At 55.3% G+C, this 19,826-nt stretch overlaps 3 non-coding genes across 3 annotated transcripts, besides 1 other annotated feature; all 3 read right to left on the reverse strand.

The window, feature by feature from the left end:
* Positions 1–1,521: 1,521 nt before the first annotated feature.
* On the reverse strand, positions 1,522–1,712 carry LOC124904145 (U2 spliceosomal RNA). Its single transcript, XR_007066018.1, has one exon. It is a non-coding gene; the product is annotated as a U2 spliceosomal RNA (small nuclear RNA).
* Positions 1,713–7,655: 5,943 nt separating this feature from the next.
* Positions 7,656–7,846, reverse strand: LOC124904143 (U2 spliceosomal RNA). Its single transcript, XR_007066016.1, has one exon. It is a non-coding gene; the product is annotated as a U2 spliceosomal RNA (small nuclear RNA).
* Positions 7,847–11,271: 3,425 nt separating this feature from the next.
* Positions 11,272–11,462, reverse strand: LOC124904144 (U2 spliceosomal RNA). The gene has a single exon (XR_007066017.1). It is a non-coding gene; the product is annotated as a U2 spliceosomal RNA (small nuclear RNA).
* Positions 15,968–16,631: an enhancer, noted in NCBI's record as "H3K27ac-H3K4me1 hESC enhancer chr17:41382086-41382759 (GRCh37/hg19 assembly coordinates)". NCBI's record gives its function as "activates a minimal SCP1, AML or CMV promoter by ChIP-STARR-seq in naive H9 embryonic stem cells {active_cell/tissue: H9 hESC(naive)}" and the evidence as "EXISTENCE:reporter gene assay evidence [ECO:0000049][PMID:30033119]".

The following is a 19,826-nucleotide window of genomic DNA, read 5'->3' on the forward strand; positions in this document are numbered from 1 at the left end:
GGCTCCGGCTCTGCCGCCGGGGGCTGCAGTGCAATGGCGCGATCTCACCTCACTGCGGCCTTCTGGGCTCAAGCGATCCTCCCACTGTGCCCGGCCTGAAGACAGCCTTTAGAGAAAGAAGCAGGGGGAGTTCTTCCGAGGACAGACAAGATTTCTGGAGTTTGGAAAGGGTGAGAGACTGGGTCAGCGAAAGGAACATTCCGGTCTTTATGTTGGGATGCAACGTATAGATACAGGGATGAGACCCAAAAGAGCCGGCAGAGGTTTGTCATCGTGCTCGCAAGGCAACTGCCGGTGGCTGATCCCGTAAAGGATACACATACCTAGAGCGGAGCCTAAAGATGCATCCAGCATGACGGGTGGAGCCACGATGCTTGGACTCGAGCTCTGCTCCTGTGCGTTCCGTGATCAATGGCTTATACTACCTGCACCTCAGTTTTTCCCGGGCAAAAAAGGAAGCTTGCTGCCGGTGCGTTGGCACCTGCCTTAAAGTGCCAGCTACTCAGCGGGCTGAAGAGGAAGAAGTTCCTACTAGGAAGACACGTGGACACGTATGTTTACTGCAGCACTATTTACAATAGCAAAGACTTGGAACCAACTCGAATGCCCATGAATGATAGGCTGGATAAAGAAAGTGTGGCACGTATACAGCATGGAATTACTACGCAGCCATAAAAAAGGATGAGTTCATGACCTCTGCGGGAACGTGGATGAAGCTGGAAGGCCTCATTCTCAGCAAACTGACACAGGAAGCGAAAACCAAACACCGCATGTTCTCGCTCCTAAGTGGGAGTTGAACAGCGAGAACACATGGGACACAGGGAGGGGAACATCACACGCCGGGCCCTGACGGGGCGTGGGGGGCAAGGGGAGAGAGAGCATTAGGACAAATAGCCAACGCATGCGGGGCTTCAAACCTAGACGACTGGTGGATAGGTGCAGCAAAGCACCGTGGCACACGTGTACCTATGTTCCAAACCTGCACGTCCTGCACATGTACCCCAGAACTTGGGAGGGGGTGGGGGAAACCAAAAGAGCGAGGGAGAGGCGGGGGGGGGGAAGAGAGAGAGAGAGGGAAAGAGAGAGAGAGACAGAGAGAGGAGAGAGAGAGAGAGAGACAGAGAGAGAGACAGAGAGACAGAGACAGACACAGAGAGACGGAGAGACAGAGAGAGAGAGAGAGAGAAAGAGAGAGAGAGAGAGAGAGACAGGAGAAAGAAGAACTCCGGGTGGGTCCCATTCCTTTAAAAGGTCGCCACCCACTCGACTGCCAAGCTGAGATCCTAAGGACCTCCCCAAAGGAGGAGGTCGTGGCCTTCCCAAAGCGCAGTAGCCACGGTGGAAACGAAAGCGTGCCGCATAAGCCTACCGTCTACCGCCCGCACATCAGGAACCTCAAGGTACTTCAGGGAAGCAGTTAAGTCAAGCCGGCGCGTCACAGGCACTCGGCGTGCAAGCCGCCCCGCAGGTGCTACCGTCTCTTACCTCCCTCTACTTTTAGGAAACACGTTGTATCCCCGGAGGGGGTGCACCGTTCCTGGAAGTACTGCAATACCAGGTCGATGCGTGGAGTGGACGGAGCAAGCTCCTATTCCATCTCCCTGCTCCAAAAATCCATTTAATATATTGTCCTCGGATAGAGGACGTATCAGATATTAAACTGATAAGAACAGATACTACACTTGATCTTAGCCAAAAGGCCGAGAAGCGATGCGCTCGCCTTCGCGCCCGCCGTCACCGTCCCACTCTCATCCACATTCAAGTCGCGGTGAGAGCCCCAGCCTCGCTCCTTGCCCCATTCCCTCTGTCTCGTCCACAGCGCTATTGACGCCCTTACACTCTCGGGCTGATTTCTTATTCTCCGCCTTTGAAAAGGGAAATCTTACACCCGTGCTTCTTCCGGCGTTCCCGGGCTTTCATTTCGAATTTGCATGCCCCGCCCTTTCACAGAGGGCGTGGCCTCCGCCGTTGACTCCGCCCCCGGGGCCGCCTCTGCCTGGGGGAGCCGGGGCTCCGCTGGGGGCGACTTCCTTGTTCGTATCGAGCCAGCGAAAAGACAGAACCGGAAGAGACCGGGGGCGAAGGCGACAGGGGTCTGTGGAAGAGACCTGTCGGCGGAGAGCGGTCCACGTTTTCCTGGAGAAAGACGAGGCCCAGGGCAGGAGCGCGGGCTGCGCTGGGCCTTTACTTCGCCGCCCGCGGGCGGGGAGACCGGCCCCGTACCCGAGGGGACGAGGGGACGAGGGGCCCATGCCCAGTCAGGGAAGCCTAAGGTCTGGAGGGGCTTCCGGGAGCAGGGGCTGGAGTTCCTCTGCCAGGCAGGATGCTGGCACCAGACACCCGGCAGAGGGAGGCGGCGAGGGCTCATAAGGAATTCTCCCCAGCCCCTGTGCTTGCGTCTCCTGCGGTTTCTGTGCTCGGACCGTGTCCTGTGCTGTGTAGGGAACGCTGCCTCTCTGCTCGGGACGTGGATTCCTTTCCCCTCCTCCTCGCCCGGCTACTTCTGACGCAGGTCGTCAGGACTCCGCTTTGTGTCACCCGTGCAGGGAAGCCTCCCTTAGTCAAGGGCCCTCGCACCCGCCCCATATGTGACTAGCAGCCCTCCTGTGTATTTCATCGCGCCCCCGTTGTTTATATCAGCCATTCCACTCACCACCTTCTGGGCAACCCTTTATCTCCCGCTCTGAAATCCCATCGCTGAGGGCTGGACCCCTCCTCAGTGCTTATCCCTGTTTCCCCGCGCGAGTCTGGCGCCTGGCGTGTGGAAGGCGCTCAGTAAACGTTTGTGGAGCGAAGAAACGACGCAAAGGTGATGAGCACGACGCCAGTTAGGAGGCTATTGGCCGGCGCGGGGAAAAGGGGAAGGTCGGGCTCGGGGTGGCAGGACCCCAGAGGCAGGGGTGGCTGCCGGGTGCTCTTGGGGCAAGGTGGGCGTCAAGGCCCCCAGCAAGGTTGGGATAAAGTTTCTCTCCGAGGCACAGACTGCCGCTGCGGGCTCAGCATTTACCTCTCCCTTCCTCCTTCCTAACGCAACTTCAGCGGAGGGCTGAGGGCTCTACTGCGCATTACCTGGAAAACTTATTTCACTCCACGGCCCTAAGAGGTGGGCCTTATTATTAGCCATGGCCAGGGTTAGGGTGAGGCCACTCCTCCAGGGCAGAATTTCAGGGGGTGCCCACCCCCCCGCCCTAAATCATTCAGCAATCAACATAAATTATAGTTCAACGCAATGTATCTTATCTTGTGGGCCGCAAGCCACCCAGGTGCCCAGGCAAGAGCCTGAAGGCACAAGCTGTTCCAGTACAGCGAAGAAAATAATTAGAATAAGAAAAGTTTTACTAGAGATAGGAAACGGATAGGATTATATCTGACTATTATTAATCATTAGTTTGTAGCATCACTCTTTGTTCTATTACCATAATGATCTCTGTTCTATTATGATTACCTTGGGGGAAACCAGGCCACACAGAGTTAGGAGCTGAAGGGCCACAGTGAGAGGTGACCAGAAGACGAGAGTGTGAGCCCTCATTCACGCCCAGAGAAGGGCCGCTGGAGGGCTCCTTGGCCTAGCGGTAATGCCAGTGCCTGGGAAGGCCCTGGTTACTTAGCAGGCCTTGGTCTAGCGGTGGCCCCAGTGCCTGGGAAGGCACCCGTTACTTAGCAGACCCGGAAAGGGAATCTCCCTCTCTCCAGGGGAGACAGAGAACGCTCCGCTCCACCACCTCTTGTGGGAGGTCTGACATTAGCCAGGCCGGCCCGCAGTCATCCGGAGGCTCCAACGTCTGTCTCCCTGTGATGCTGTGCTTCAGTGGTCACGCTCCTTGTTCACTTTCATGTTCAGCCTGTACACCTGGCTCCTCCTTTTAAGTTCTTAGAAGACAGCAGTAGCAGAACTAGTAGGAGTACCACAGTCTTCGATCTTTCTGATAAGTGCATAGAAGAAACGCTGACGTTTGCTGTCCTCCCTCTCCACCTCGGCTACCACAAAGGGAAAGGCCCCCTGTCCAGTGGACACGTGACTCGCGTGACCTATCGATCATTGGAGATGACTGGCACTCCTTACCCTGCCCCCTTGCCTTGACTACAATAAATAGCAGCGCCTCCAGGCACTCGGGGCCACTACCTGTCTGTCTCCGCGCTTTGGTGGCAGTGGTCCCCCGGGCCCAGCTGCCTTTCTTCCTATCTCTTTGTCTTCTGTCTTTATCTCTTCGATCTCTCGTCTCCGCACACACGCGAAGAGAAAACCCACAGACCCGGTAGGGGTGGACCCTACATTATCTCAGCTACAACATAATCAGGATATTCACGTGGACTACTGAGTCTTTCGGTGCCCCCTTGCTGTTTTAGTTTTGTCCTGCGGCCGAGTGTTTCCCTCGCTTCACGCCAACACAATCTCCGCCGCCCTGTCTTGTCATCCCCATTCTACAGCCCAGCACGGTGTAGTATGGCAGCCGCTAGCCACAGGTATCTAGGGAGCCCTGGAAATGTGGTCAGTTCTAATGGAGCTGTGCTGTAAGTGTGAAATACACGTGGGATTTTGACGGCAGTGGGAGCAAAATTCTCCCAATTTTTTTTTTTTTTTTTTTTTTTCAGACGGAGGTTCCGCTCTTGTTACCCAGCCTGGAGTCCAATGGCGCGATCTAGGCTCTCTGCAACCTCCGCCTCCCGGGTTCAAGCGATTCCCCTGCCTCAGCCTCCCGAGCAGCTGGGACTACAGGCATGTGCCACCACGCCCGGCTAACTTTGTATTTTTAGTACAGATGGGGTTTCTCCACGTTGCTCAGGCTGGTCTCCAACTCCCGACCTCCGGTGATCTGCCCAGCTGCCGCCTCCCAAAGTGTTGCTTGCGATTACAGGCTTGAGCCACCGCTCACCCTGGCTTTTTTTTTTTTTTTTTCCAGACAAACTCTCGCTCTGTCGCCCAGGCTGGAGTGCAGTGGCGCGATCTCGGCTCACTGCAGCCTCTACCTCCCGGGTTCCAGCGATTCTCCTGCCTCAGCCTCCTGGGTAGCTGGGATTACAGGCGCAGGCCACCACGCCCGGCTAATTTTTGTATTTTTAGGGGGTTTCGCCATGTCGGCCAGGCTGGTCTCGAGCTCCTGACCTCAGGCGATCCGCCCGCCTCGGCCTCCCAAAGCGCTGGGATTACAGGCGTAAGCCACCGCGCCGGGCTCTTTCATTCTGTCTTTATTTTCTGAGATAGAGTCTCGCTCGGACGCTCAGGTTGGACTGCAACGGCGTGATCTCGGCTCGCTGAAACTTCCGCCTCCCGGGTTCAAGCGATTCTCCTGTCTCAGCCTCCCGAGTAGCTGGGATTATTGACGGGCAGCACCACGCCCGGGCTACTTTTTGTGGTTTTTGTATCTTCTGTCTTCTGCTCTTTAGTACCGCATAGAGCCGCAGAAGACTAGCGAGTCGAACAAACGGCCCCTCTTGCAGCAGTTGTTGATCACGGGGCTGCCCCCCGGGTACTCATCCTGTGTCTCTCGTCCAAATCCCCGCTCCTCCTCAGCTATCACCTCTGCCGATGCTGGTGGTTTCCCTGGGTACCGGAACCAAACTCTCATTCCCCGAGCCTAAGCCCCCCGTGCCAGGCCCTTCTCAAGTCAGGGTTCCTGCACATTCACAGTTACGGGTGGCCCTGGGAGTAACACCTGGCACCCAAACAGGTCACCAGAGTCCACACATAGTCCACCTGCCCTCCCTGCGTAAGATCAGCTCTTCCTCCTCCCGACGATAGATCAGGGTCAATGATCCCTGCCAAGATGGCGACTGCTCCAGCCTGCTGGTCCAACCTGTCCAGCCACAGCTGTTGCTCGAAGGCTTGAAGTTCAATGGGACCCTCTCCCGCTTTCTACAAACTGGTTCCTTTATTTTTATGTTTATTTATTTGGGACGGGGTCTGGCTCTGTCACCCAGGCTGGAGTGCAGTGGTGCAATCACTGCTCACTGCAGCATCCACCTCCCAGCGTCCACCCATCCTCCTGCCTCAGCCTCCGGAACAGCTGGGGTACAGGTACGCCCCAGCCCGAACAGGTTTTCACTAGGTTGCCTGGGCTCTTTCTTTCTTTGTCTGTGTTTGTTTGTTGGTTGGTTGGTTGGTTGGTTGGTTTTTGTTTGTTTGTTTCGAGACGGGGCTCCGGCTCTGCCGCCGGGGGCTGCAGTGCAATGGCGCGATCTCACCTCACTGCGGCCTTCTGGGCTCAAGCGATCCTCCCACTGTGCCCGGCCTGAAGACAGCCTTTAGAGAAAGAAGCAGGGGGAGTTCTTCCGAGGACAGACAAGATTTCTGGAGTTTGGAAAGGGTGAGAGACTGGGTCAGCGAAAGGAACATTCCGGTCTTTATGTTGGGATGCAACGTATAGGTACAGGGATGAGACCCAAAAGAGCCGGCAGAGGTTTGTCATCGTGCTCGCAAGGCAACTGCCGGTGGCTGATCCCGTAAAGGATACACATACCTAGAGCGGAGCCTAAAGATGCATCCAGCATGACGGGTGGAGCCACGATGCTTGGACTCGAGCTCTGCTCCTGTGCGTTCCGTGATCAATGGCTTATACTACCTGCACCTCAGTTTTTCCCGGGCAAAAAAGGAAGCTTGCTGCCGGTGCGTTGGCACCTGCCTTAAAGTGCCAGCTACTCAGCGGGCTGAAGAGGAAGAAGTTCCTACTAGGAAGACACGTGGACACGTATGTTTACTGCAGCACTATTTACAATAGCAAAGACTTGGAACCAACTCGAATGCCCATGAATGATAGGCTGGATAAAGAAAGTGTGGCACGTATACAGCATGGAATTACTACGCAGCCATAAAAAAGGATGAGTTCATGACCTCTGCGGGAACGTGGATGAAGCTGGAAGGCCTCATTCTCAGCAAACTGACACAGGAAGCGAAAACCAAACACCGCATGTTCTCGCTCCTAAGTGGGAGTTGAACAGCGAGAACACATGGGACACAGGGAGGGGAACATCACACGCCGGGCCCTGACGGGGCGTGGGGGGCAAGGGGAGAGAGAGCATTAGGACAAATAGCCAACGCATGCGGGGCTTCAAACCTAGACGACTGGTGGATAGGTGCAGCAAAGCACCGTGGCACACGTGTACCTATGTTCCAAACCTGCACGTCCTGCACATGTACCCCAGAACTTGGGAGGGGGTGGGGGAAACCAAAAGAGCGAGGGAGAGGCGGGGGGGGGAAAGAGAGAGAGAGAGGGAAAGAGAGAGAGAGACAGAGAGAGGAGAGAGAGAGAGAGAGACAGAGAGAGAGACAGAGAGACAGAGACAGACACAAGAGACGGAGAGACAGAGAGAGAGAGAGAGAGAAAGAGAGAGAGAGAGAGAGAGACAGGAGAAAGAAGAACTCCGGGTGGGTCCCATTCCTTTAAAAGGTCGCCACCCACTCGACTGCCAAGCTGAGATCCTAAGGACCTCCCCAAAGGAGGAGGTCGTGGCCTTCCCAAAGCGCAGTAGCCACGGTGGAAACGAAAGCGTGCCGCATAAGCCTACCGTCTACCGCCCGCACATCAGGAACCTCAAGGTACTTCAGGGAAGCAGTTAAGTCAAGCCGGCGCGTCACAGGCACTCGGCGTGCAAGCCGCCCCGCAGGTGCTACCGTCTCTTACCTCCCTCTACTTTTAGGAAACACGTTGTATCCCCGGAGGGGGTGCACCGTTCCTGGAGGTACTGCAATACCAGGTCGATGCGTGGAGTGGACGGAGCAAGCTCCTATTCCATCTCCCTGCTCCAAAAATCCATTTAATATATTGTCCTCGGATAGAGGACGTATCAGATATTAAACTGATAAGAACAGATACTACACTTGATCTTAGCCAAAAGGCCGAGAAGCGATGCGCTCGCCTTCGCGCCCGCCGTCACCGTCCCACTCTCATCCACATTCAAGTCGCGGTGAGAGCCCCAGCCTCGCTCCTTGCCCCATTCCCTCTGTCTCGTCCACAGCGCTATTGACGCCCTTACACTCTCGGGCTGATTTCTTATTCTCCGCCTTTGAAAAGGGAAATCTTACACCCGTGCTTCTTCCGGCGTTCCCGGGCTTTCATTTCGAATTTGCATGCCCCGCCCTTTCACAGAGGGCGTGGCTCCGCGTTGACTCCGCCCCCGGGCGCGCCTCTGCCTGGGGGAGCCGGGGCTCGCTGGGGGCGACTTCCTTGTTCGTATCGAGCCAGCGAAAAGACAGAACCGGAAGAGACCGGGGGCGAAGGCGACAGGGGTCTGTGGAAGAGACCTGTCGGCGGAGAGCGGTCCACGTTTTCCTGGAGAAAGACGAGGCCCCAGGCGAGGAGCGCGGGCTGCTGGGGCCTTTACTTCGCCGCCCGCGGCAGACCCGGCCCCGTACCCGAGGGACGAGGGACGAGGGGCCCATGCCCAGTCAGGGAAGCCGCACGTGGAGGGGCTTCCGGGAGCAGGGGCTGGAGTTCCTCTGCCAGGCAGGAGGCTGGCACCAGACACCCGGCAGAGGGAGGCGGCGAGGGCCAGCAAGGATTCTCCCCAGCCCCTGTGCCTGCGTCTCCTGCGGCTTCTGTGCGCGGACCGTGTCCTGTGCTGTGTAGGGAACGCTGCCTCTCTGCTCGGGACGTGGATTCCTTTCCCCTCCTCCTCGCCCGGCTACTTCTGACGCAGGTCGTCAGGACTCCGCTTGGGTGTCACCCGTGCAGGAAGCCTCCCTTAGTCAAGGGCCCTCGGCACCCGCCCCATATGTGACTAGCAGCCCTCCTGTGTATTTCATCGCGCCCCCGTTGTTTATATCAGCCATTCCACTCACCACCCTTCTGGGCAACCCTTTATCTCCCGCTCTGAAATCCCATCGCTGAGGGCTGGGACCCCTCCTCAGTGCTTATCCCTGTTTCCCCGCGCGAGTCTGGCGCCTGGCGTGTGGAAGGCGCTCAGTAAACGTTTGTGGAGCGAAGAAACGACGCAAAGGTGATGAGCACGACGCAGTTAGGAGGCTATTGGCCCGGCGCGGGGGAAAAGGGGGAAGGTCGGGCTCGGGGTGGCAGGACCCCAGAGGGCAGGGGTGGCTGCCGGGGTGCTCTTGGGGCAAGGTGGGCGTCAAGGCCCCCAGCAAGGTTGGGATAAAGTTCCTTTCCGAGGCACAGACTGCCGCCTGCGGGCTCAGCATTTACCTTTCCCTTTCTCCTTCCTTACCTCCCTCTCCACCTCGGCTACCACAAAGGGAAAGGCCCCCTGTCCAGTGCACACGTGACTCGCGTGACCTATCGATCATTGGAGATGACTGGCACTCCTTACCCTGCCCCCTTGCCTTGACTACAATAAATAGCAGCGCCTCCAGGCACTCGGGGCCACTACCTGTCTGTCTCCGCGCTTTGGTGGCAGTGGTCCCCCGGGCCCAGCTGTCTTTCTTCCTATCTCTTTGTCTTCTGTCTTTATCTCTTCGATCTCTCGTCTCCGCACACACGCGAAGAGAAAACCCACAGACCCGGTAGGGGTGGACCCTACATTATCTCAGCTACAACATAATCAGGATATTCACGTGGACTACTGAGTCTTTCGGTGCCCCCTTGCTGTTTTAGTTTTGTCCTGCGGCCGAGTGTTTCCCTCGCTTCACGCCAACACAATCTCCGCCGCCCTGTCTTGTCATCCCCATTCTACAGCCCAGCACGGTGTAGTATGGCAGCCGCTAGCCACAGGTATCTAGGGAGCCCTGGAAATGTGGTCAGTTCTAATGGAGCTGTGCTGTAAGTGTGAAATACACGTGGGATTTTGACGGCAGTGGGAGCAAAATTCTCCCAATTTTTTTTTTTTTTTTTTTTTTTCAGACGGAGGTTCCGCTCTTGTTACCCAGCCTGGAGTCCAATGGCGCGATCTAGGCTCTCTGCAACCTCCGCCTCCCGGGTTCAAGCGATTCCCCTGCCTCAGCCTCCCGAGCAGCTGGGACTACAGGCATGTGCCACCACGCCCGGCTAACTTTGTATTTTTAGTACAGATGGGGTTTCTCCACGTTGCTCAGGCTGGTCTCCAACTCCCGACCTCCGGTGATCTGCCCAGCTGCCGCCTCCCAAAGTGTTGCTTGCGATTACAGGCTTGAGCCACCGCTCACCCTGGCTTTTTTTTTTTTTTTTCCAGACAAACTCTCGCTCTGTCGCCCAGGCTGGAGTGCAGTGGCGCGATCTCGGCTCACTGCAGCCTCTACCTCCCGGGTTCCAGCGATTCTCCTGCCTCAGCCTCCTGGGTAGCTGGGATTACAGGCGCAGGCCACCACGCCCGGCTAATTTTTGTATTTTTAGGGGGTTTCGCCATGTCGGCCAGGCTGGTCTCGAGCTCCTGACCTCAGGCGATCCGCCCGCCTCGGCCTCCCAAAGCGCTGGGATTACAGGCGTAAGCCACGCGCCGGGCTCTTTCATTCTGTCTTTATTTTCTGAGATAGTCTTCGTCGGACGCTCAGCTCTGCGGGACGTGGATGAAGCTGGAAGGCCTCATTCCCAGCAGAACCACACAGGAAGCGAAAACCAAACACCGCATGTTCTCGCTCCGAAGTGGGAGTTGAACAGCGAGAACACATGGGACACGGGGAGGGGAACATCACACGCCGGGCCCTGACGGGGGCGTGGGGGGCAAGGGGAGAGAGAGCATTAGGACAAATAGCCAACGCATGCGGGGCTTCAAACCTAGACGACTGGTGGATAGGTGCAGCAAAGCACCGTGGCACACGTGTACCTATGTTCCAAACCTGCACGTCCTGCACATGTACCCCAGAACTTGGGAGGGGGTGGGGGAAACCAAAAGAGCGAGGGAGAGGCGGGGGGGGGGGAAGAGAGAGAGAGAGGGAAAGAGAGAGAGAGACAGAGAGAGGAGAGAGAGAGAGAGAGAGAGAGAGAGAGAGAGACAGAGAGAGAGACAGAGAGACAGAGACAGACACAGAGAGACGGAGAGACAGAGAGAGAGAGAGAGAAAGAGAGAGAGAGAGAGAGAGAGAGAGAGAGAGACAGGAGAAAGAAGAACTCCGGGTGGGTCCCATTCCTTTAAAAGGTCGCCACCCACTCGACTGCCAAGCTGAGATCCTAAGGACCTCCCCAAAGGAGGAGGTCGTGGCCTTCCCAAAGCGCAGTAGCCACGGTGGAAACGAAAGCGTGCCGCATAAGCCTACCGTCTACCGCCCGCACATCAGGAACCTCAAGGTACTTCAGGGAAGCAGTTAAGTCAAGCCGGCGCGTCACAGGCACTCGGCGTGCAAGCCGCCCCGCAGGTGCTACCGTCTCTTACCTCCCTCTACTTTTAGGAAACACGTTGTATCCCCGGAGGGGGTGCACCGTTCCTGGAGGTACTGCAATACCAGGTCGATGCGTGGAGTGGACGGAGCAAGCTCCTATTCCATCTCCCTGCTCCAAAAATCCATTTAATATATTGTCCTCGGATAGAGGACGTATCAGATATTAAACTGATAAGAACAGATACTACACTTGATCTTAGCCAAAAGGCCGAGAAGCGATGCGCTCGCCTTCGCGCCCGCCGTCACCGTCCCACTCTCATCCACATTCAAGTCGCGGTGAGAGCCCCAGCCTCGCTCCTTGCCCCATTCCCTCTGTCTCGTCCACAGCGCTATTGACGCCCTTACACTCTCGGGCTGATTTCTTATTCTCCGCCTTTGAAAAGGGAAATCTTACACCCGTGCTTCTTCCGGCGTTCCCGGGCTTTCATTTCGAATTTGCATGCCCCGCCCTTTCACAGAGGGCGTGGCCTCCGCCGTTGACTCCGCCCCCGGGGCCGCCTCTGCCTGGGGGAGCCGGGGCTCCGCTGGGGGCGACTTCCTTGTTCGTATCGAGCCAGCGAAAAGACAGAACCGGAAGAGACCGGGGGCGAAGGCGACAGGGGTCTGTGGAAGAGACCTGTCGGCGGAGAGCGGTCCACGTTTTCCTGGAGAAAGACGAGGCCCCAGGGCAGGAGCGCGGGCTGCGCTGGGCCTTTACTTCGCCGCCCGCGGGCGGGGAGACCGGCCCCGTACCCGAGGGGACGAGGGGACGAGGGGCCCATGCCCAGTCAGGGAAGCCGAAGGCCTGGAGGGGCTTCCGGGAGCAGGGGCTGGAGTTCCTCTGCCAGGCAGGAGGCTGGCACCAGACACCCGGCAGAGGGAGGCGGCGAGGGCCCAGCAAGGATTCTCCCCAGCCCCTGTGCCTGCGTCTCCTGCGGCTTCTGTGCGCGGACCGTGTCCTGTGCTGTGTAGGGAACGCTGCCTCTCTGCTCGGGACGTGGATTCCTTTCCCCTCCTCCTCGCCCGGCTACTTCTGACGCAGGTCGTCAGGACTCCGCTTGGGTGTCACCCGTGCAGGAAGCCTCCCTTAGTCAAGGGCCCTCGGCACCCGCCCCATATGTGACTAGCAGCCCTCCTGTGTATTTCATCGCGCCCCCGTTGTTTATATCAGCCATTCCACTCACCACCCTTCTGGGCAACCCTTTATCTCCCGCTCTGAAATCCCATCGCTGAGGGCTGGGACCCCTCCTCAGTGCTTATCCCTGTTTCCCCGCGCGAGTCTGGCGCCTGGCGTGTGGAAGGCGCTCAGTAAACGTTTGTGGAGCGAAGAAACGACGCAAAGGTGATGAGCACGACGCAGTTAGGAGGCTATTGGCCCGGCGCGGGGGAAAAGGGGGAAGGTCGGGCTCGGGGTGGCAGGACCCCAGAGGGCAGGGGTGGCTGCCGGGGTGCTCTTGGGGCAAGGTGGGCGTCAAGGCCCCCAGCAAGGTTGGGATAAAGTTTCTCTCCGAGGCACAGACTGCCGCCTGCGGGCTCAGCATTTACCTCTCCCTTCCTCTCCTACGCTACTTCAGCGGAGGGCTGAGGGCTCTACTGCGCATTACCTGGGAAAACCTTTATTTTATTATATCTGACTATTATTAATCATTAGTTTGTAGCATCACTCTTTGTTCTATTACCATAATGATCTCTGTTCTATTATGATTACCTTGGGGGAAACCAGGCCACACAGAGTTAGGAGCTGAAGGGCCACAGTGAGAGGTGACCAGAAGACGAGAGTGTGAGCCCTCATTCACGCCCAGAGAAGGGCCGCTGGAGGGCTCCTTGGCCTAGCGGTAATGCCAGTGCCTGGGAAGGCCCTGGTTACTTAGCAGGCCTTGGTCTAGCGGTGGCCCCAGTGCCTGGGAAGGCACCCGTTACTTAGCAGACCCGGAAAGGGAATCTCCCTCTCTCCAGGAGAGACAGAGTGTGAGCCACTGTGCCCGGCTGGGAGCAAGACTGGAGCAAGACTCCATCTCAAAAAAATAAAATAAAATAAATAAGTGAATTAATTAATTAAAGGCCAGGCATGGTGGTTCACACTTGTCAACATTTTGGGAGACTTAGGTGGGAGGATTGCTTGAGTCCAGGAGTTCCAGACCAGCCAGGGCAACATAGTGAGACCCTGTCTGTATTACAATAATAAAATCAAATAAAGTTTTTAATTTTTTTTTGAGACAAGAGTCTCACTCTATCACTCAGGTCAGAGTGCAGTGGCACTATCTTGGCTCACTGCAACCTCCACCTCACTGATTCAAGTGATTCTCATGCCTCAGTCTCCCCAGGTAGCTGGAATTCCAGGCAAGCGCCACCATGCCTAGCTACTTTTTGTACTTTTAGTAGAGACCAGGTTTCGCCATGTTGGCCAGGCTGGTCTTGAACTCCTGACCTCAACTGATCCACCCACCTTGGCCTCCCAAAGTGCTGGATTACAGGTGTGAGCCACCATGCCCGGCCAAAATAACATTTTTAAAAACTAAATTAAATTTATATAACACTGACCGGGCATCATGGCTCATGCCTGCAATCCCAGCACTTTGGGAGGCTGAGTTGGGTGGATCACCTGAGGTCGGGAGTTTGAGACCAGCCTCACCAACATGGAGAAACCGTGTCTCTACTAAAAATACAAAATTATCTGGGCGTGGTGGCGCATGCCTGTAATACCAGCTACTCGGGAGGCTGAGGCAGGAGAATCACTTGAACCCGGGAGGCAGAGGTTGTGGTGAGCCAAGATTGCACCATTGCACTCCAGCCTGGGCAACAAGAGCAAAACTCCATCTCAAAAAAAAAAAAAAAAATTTGGTTCCTCAGTCACACTCCAAGGCTCAATATAGCATACAGGCTGGGGGTTACCCTATTGGACAGAACATCTTTAAACCTCCCAGGCCTAGTACCCTTGCCTTCCCCTAGACTATTACAAGAGGGAAATTGAGTCAGCTGATAGTGGTCCCCCCAACACAGACACAGTCTATCTGAGAGAACGCCAAATGACCTTGCTTTCCTCCTACCCCCAGCAAACAGCATTCACCAAATAGTAGGCAGCTTCCTAGGGATCTCTCTCCATTCTCCATTCCCTTCCTGCTCCAGAGAGGACCCTGAAGAACCCAGCCTATCCCATGCACCTGTTCTTTCTGCTGCAGCTCCTGCTGCTGCTGGGCCATCAGCCATCTCCTTCGGTCCAAAGCCATCTGCCGGCGCCGGGCCTCCCAGTGGTAGGCACTACCCATGATAGTGGGATGGTATGAGGCCCCAGGTGGGGGTGGGGACAGGCAGAGCCCACTGCTCCCACCACCTCTGTCTCTTCCCACTCAGACCCCTCTGCCTATAACTGGAACCACCTCACAATGTGGTTACTGCCAGGGCAACTGGGCAGGCCCCGCCTGCTTTGTTGAGAGAGGGAGGCATTTTTCCCAAGGCTCCCAGGGAACATCTGCAAAGTACCTTTCTCTCCTGGGTCCTGATCAGATAGAAGACCTTCCCACCTTAGCTTTGAGTCTCAATGGGCCCCATGGACAATTCAGCAGTAAAGTCTTTTCTCTCTGGCTTCTTTCCCCCATTCTTCCTCAGAGGGTTCCAGCATCATCATCTGACCCTTCCTCTGCTCATCTCTCCCCACTTAGGTCTCCGGAATTACCTTTTTCTCCTTAATCTCTCCTCTCTCCATCTCCCCCATAAATGTCTGTGCTGAGTCAGAATGAAAGAAAATACAAAATCCTACTAAGCCTCACTGAGGTCTGAGCCCCCAGAACGCAAAGGGGCTTCTTAGAAAACACCCTAGCTCTGGAGATTTCTAATTCTGGACTCAAGCCTAGCGTCTACCTCTTAATTTTATTTTCATTTTATTTTTTATTTTTTGAGATGGAGTTTCACTCTTGTTGCCCAGGCTGGAGTGCAATGGCGCAATCTCGGCTCACTGCAACCTCCGCCTCCCAGGTTCAAGAGATTCTCCTACCTCAGCCTCCCAAGTAGCTAGGATTACAGGCATGCACCACCATGCCCGGATAATTTTTGTATTTTTAGTAGAGACAGGGTTTCTCCACGTTGGTCAGGCTGATCTCAAACTCCAGACCTCAGGTGATCCGCCCGCCTCAGCCTCCCAAAGTGCTGGGATTACAGGTGTGAGCCACCACGCCCAGCCTGGGACTGTGCATTTAAGATCACCCCAAGTGGCTGGGCACAGTGGCCTCTGCCTCCTGGGTTCAAGCAAACAAAAAGAAAGAGCCTAGGCAACCTAGTGAAACCCTGTTCGGGCTGCGGCCTATCTGTACCCCAGCTATTCCAGAGGCTGAGGCAGGAGGGTGGATGGATGCTGGGAGGTGGATGCTGCAGTGAGCAGTGATTGCACCACTGCACTCCAGCCTGGGTGACAGAGCCAGACCCCGTCCCAAATAAATAAAAATAAAGGAACCAGTTTGTAGAAAGCAGGAGAGGGTCCCATTGAACTTCAAGCCTTCAAGCTACAGCTGTGGCTGGACAGGTTGGACCAGCAGGCTGGAGCAGTCGCCATCTTGGCAGGGATCATTGACCCTGATCTATCATCGGGAGGAAGAAGAGCTGATCTTATGCAGGGAGGGCAGGTGGACTATGTGTGGACTCTGGTGATCTGTTTGGGTGCCAGGTGTTACTCCCAGGGCCACCCATAACTGTGAATGTGCAGGAACCCTGACTTAGGTTCCTGGGGAATGAGAGTTTGGTTCCCGGTACCCAGGGAAACCACCAGCATCGGCAGAGGTGATAGCTGGGGAGGAGCGGGGATTTGGACGAGAGACACAGGATGAGTACCGGGGGCAGCCCTGTGATCAACAACTGCTGCAAGAGGGGCCGTTTGTTCGACTCACTAGTCTTCTGTGGCTCTATGCGGTACTAAAGAGCAGAAGACAGAAGATACAAAAACCACAAAAATTAGCCGGGCGTGGTGCTGCGCGTCAATAATCCCAGCTACTCGGGAGGCTGAGACGGGAGAATCGCTTGAATCCGGGAGGTGGAAGTTTCAGCGAGCTGAGATCACGCCATTGCAGTCCAACCTGAGCGTCCGAGCGAGACTATCTCAGAAAGTAAAGACAGAATTAAAGTGCCCAGCGCAGTGGCTCACGCCTGTAATCCCAGCGCTTTGGGAGGCCGAGGCGGGCAGATCACCTGAAGTCAGGAGTTCGAGACCAGCCTGGCCAACTTGGCGAGACCTCCTTAAAAATACAAAAATTAGCTGGGCGTGGTGGCGAACACCTGTAATCCCAGCTACCCAAGGAGGCTGAGGCAGGAGAATCACTGGAACCCGGGAGGCAGAGGCTGCAGTGAGCCGAGATCGCGCCACTGCACTCCAGCCTGGGTGACAGAGCAAGACTTTGTCTCTGAAAAAAAAAAAAAAAAAAAAGCATGGGCGCGGTGGCTCATGCCTGTAATCCCAGCACTTTGGGAGGCTGAGGCGGGCAGATCATGAGGTCAGGAGATCGAGACCATCCTGGCTAACACGGTGAATCCCCGTCTCTACTAAAAGTACAAAAAAATTAGCCAGACGTGGTGGCAGGTGCCTGTCGTCTCAGCTACTTGGGAGGCTGAGGCAGAAGAATGGCGCGAACCCAGGAGGTGGAGCTTGCAGTGAGCCGAGATGCGCCACTGCACTCCAGCCTCAGCGACAGAGTGAGACTCCGTCTCAAAAAAAAAAAAAAAAAAAAAAGCTTGGGCCAGTGGCTCACACCTGTAATCCCAGCACTTTGGGAGGCGGCAGGCAGGCGGATCACCAGAGGTTGGGAGTTGGAGACCAGCCTGACCAACATGGAGAAACCCCATCTGTACTAAAAAGCCTCTGAGGAAGAGTGGGGGAAAGAAGCCAGAGAGAAAAGACTTTACTGCTGAATTGTCCATGGGGCCCACTGAGACTCAAAGCTAAGGTGGGAAGGTCTTCTATCTGATCAGGACCCAGGAGAGAAAGGTACTTTGCAGATGTTCCCTGGGAGCCTTGGGAAAAATGCCTCCCTCCCTCAACAAAGCAGGCGGGGCCTGCCCAGTTGCCCTGGCAGTAACCACATTGTGAGGTGGTTCCAGTTATAGGCAGAGGGGTCTGAGTGGGAAGAGACAGAGGTGGTGGGAGCAGTGGGCTCTGTCTGTCCCCACCCCCACCTGGGGCCTCACCCCACCTCTTCCTATAATCCTGGAGACCCTCCCTAATCTGTCTGGACCTCAGTTTCCTTGCCTGAAGAATAAGTGATAACTTGTTACCTTCTTTCACATAGCTGGTATAAGGATCAAATAGAATAATGGATGGGAAATAAAAGATAAAGTATAAAATTGTTTAGCTACAGGTTGGTATTATTATCCTACCTGACCCTTCCAAGGACTGTGTCCTCAGTAGGTGGAGTGAACAGGTGAGAGGATTATTCTCTGAAGCCCAGGAAGGCTTTTGGGGATAGAGACTGTGCATTTAATTTTTTAATTTTTAAATTTTATTTTTATTGTATTTTTTGTTTTTTGAGACGGAGTTTCACTCTTGTTGCCCAGGCTGGAGTGCAATGGCATGATCTTGGCTCACCGCAACCTCCGCCACCCTGGTTCAAGCAAGTCCTGCAAGTGATCCGCCCGCCTCGGCCTCCCAAAGTGCTGGGATTACAGGCGCGAGCCACCACGCCTGGCCTGGGACTGTGCATTTAAGATCACCCAAAGTGGCTGGGCGAGGTGGTAATCCCAGCACACTGGGAGGCCAAGGTGGGCAGATCATGAGGTCAGGAGATCAAGACCATCCTGGCTAACATGGTGAAACCCCGTTTCTGCTAAAAATACAAAAAATTAGCCGAGTGTGGTGGCACATGCCTGTAGTCCCAGCTACTCAGGAGGCTGAAGCAGAAGAATTGCTTGAACCTGGGAGGCGGAGGTTGCAGTGAGCCGAGATAGCGCCACTGCACTCCAGCCTAGGTGACAGAGCAAGACTCCATCTCAGAAAAAAAAAAAAAAAAAAATTAGCCGGGCATGGTGGCGGCCGCCTGTAATCCCAGCTACTTGGGAGGCTGAGGCAGGAGAATCGCTTGAACCCAGGAGGTGGAGGTTGCTGTGAGCCAAGATTGCACCACTGTACTCCAACCTGGGTGACAGAGCAAGACTCTGTCAAACAAACAAACAAACAAACAAATAAAGCCTGTAGGCTGGGACATTGGCTCATGCGTGTAATCCCAGCACTTTTGGAGGTGAAGGTGGGAAGATTGTTGGAGCCCAGGAGTTCCAGACTAGCCTGGGCAACATAGACACGACATATCAACTGGCATGCCCACCCCACCATTTCCCAACCCCCATCTCTACAAAAAATAAAGCAAGTTTGTTGTTATTCAAGACCCAGAATCTTCTGTTTTGGAAGAAGCAAAGTGTGGTTAGAAGCACAAGCAGGGCCGGGCATGGTGGCTCACGCCTGTAATTCCAGCACTTTGGGAGGCCAAGGCAGGTGGATCACCTAAGGTCAAGAGATCAAGACCAGCCAGGCCAACATAGTGAAACCCCGTCTCTACTAAACCCCCCGTCTCTACTAAAAACCCCCCGTCTCTACTGAAAAACCCCGTCTCTACTGAAACCCCCCGTCTCTACTAAAAATACAAAAAAATTAGCTGGGCGTGCTGGCGGGCGCCTGTAATCCCAGCTACTCAAGAGGCTGAGGCAGGAGAATCGCTTGAATGTGGGAGGCAGAGGTTGTGGTCGGCCGAGATGGCGCCACTGCACTCCAGCCTGGGCGAAAGAGCAAAACTCCATCTCAAACACACACACACACACACACACACACACACACACACACACACACACACACACACAGAAGCACAAGCAGATAAGTCCTGTGAAATATCAGCTGCAAGGCCGGGCACGGTAGCCTACGCCTGTAATCCCAGCACTTTGGGAGGCCAAGGCGGGCAGATCACTTGAGGTCAGGAGTTCGGGACCAGCCTGTCCAACATGGTGAAACCCCATCTCTACTAATAATTAAAAAATGAGCTTGGCATGGTGGCCAGCGCCTGTAATCCCAGCTACTCAGGAGGCTGAGGCAGGAGAATCGCTTGAACCTGGGAAGCAGATGTTGCAGTGAGCCGATATTGCACGCTGCACTCCAGCCTGGGCAACAGAGCAAGACTCTGTCTCAGAAAAAAACAAAACAAAACAAAAAAAAAAAACAAGAAAAAATCAGCCGGTCATGGTGGCTCATGCCTGTAATCCTAGCACTTTGGGAGGCCGAGGCAGGTGAATCACTTAAGGTCAGGAGTTTGGGACCATCCTGGCCAATATGGTGAAATGCTGTCTACTAAAGTTACAAAAAAAAATTAGCTGGGCATGGTGGCAGGCGCTTGTAATCCCAGCTACTCTGGAGGCTGAGGCAGGAGAATTGCTTGAAACCAGGAGGCAGAGGTTGCAGTGAGCTGAGATCATGCCACTGCACTGTAGCCTGAGCAATAGAGTGTGACTCAGTCTTAAAAAAAAAAAAATAAGGCCAGGCGTAGTGGCTCATGCCTGTAATCCCAGCACTTTGGGAGGCCGAGGCGGGCGGATCACCTGAGGTCGGGAGTTCGAGACCAGCCTGATCAATATGGAGAAACCCCAT

The sequence above is a fragment of the Homo sapiens genome, chromosome 17, assembly GCF_000001405.40.
Source record: "Homo sapiens chromosome 17, GRCh38.p14 Primary Assembly".
Taxonomy (NCBI): domain Eukaryota; kingdom Metazoa; phylum Chordata; class Mammalia; order Primates; family Hominidae; genus Homo; species Homo sapiens.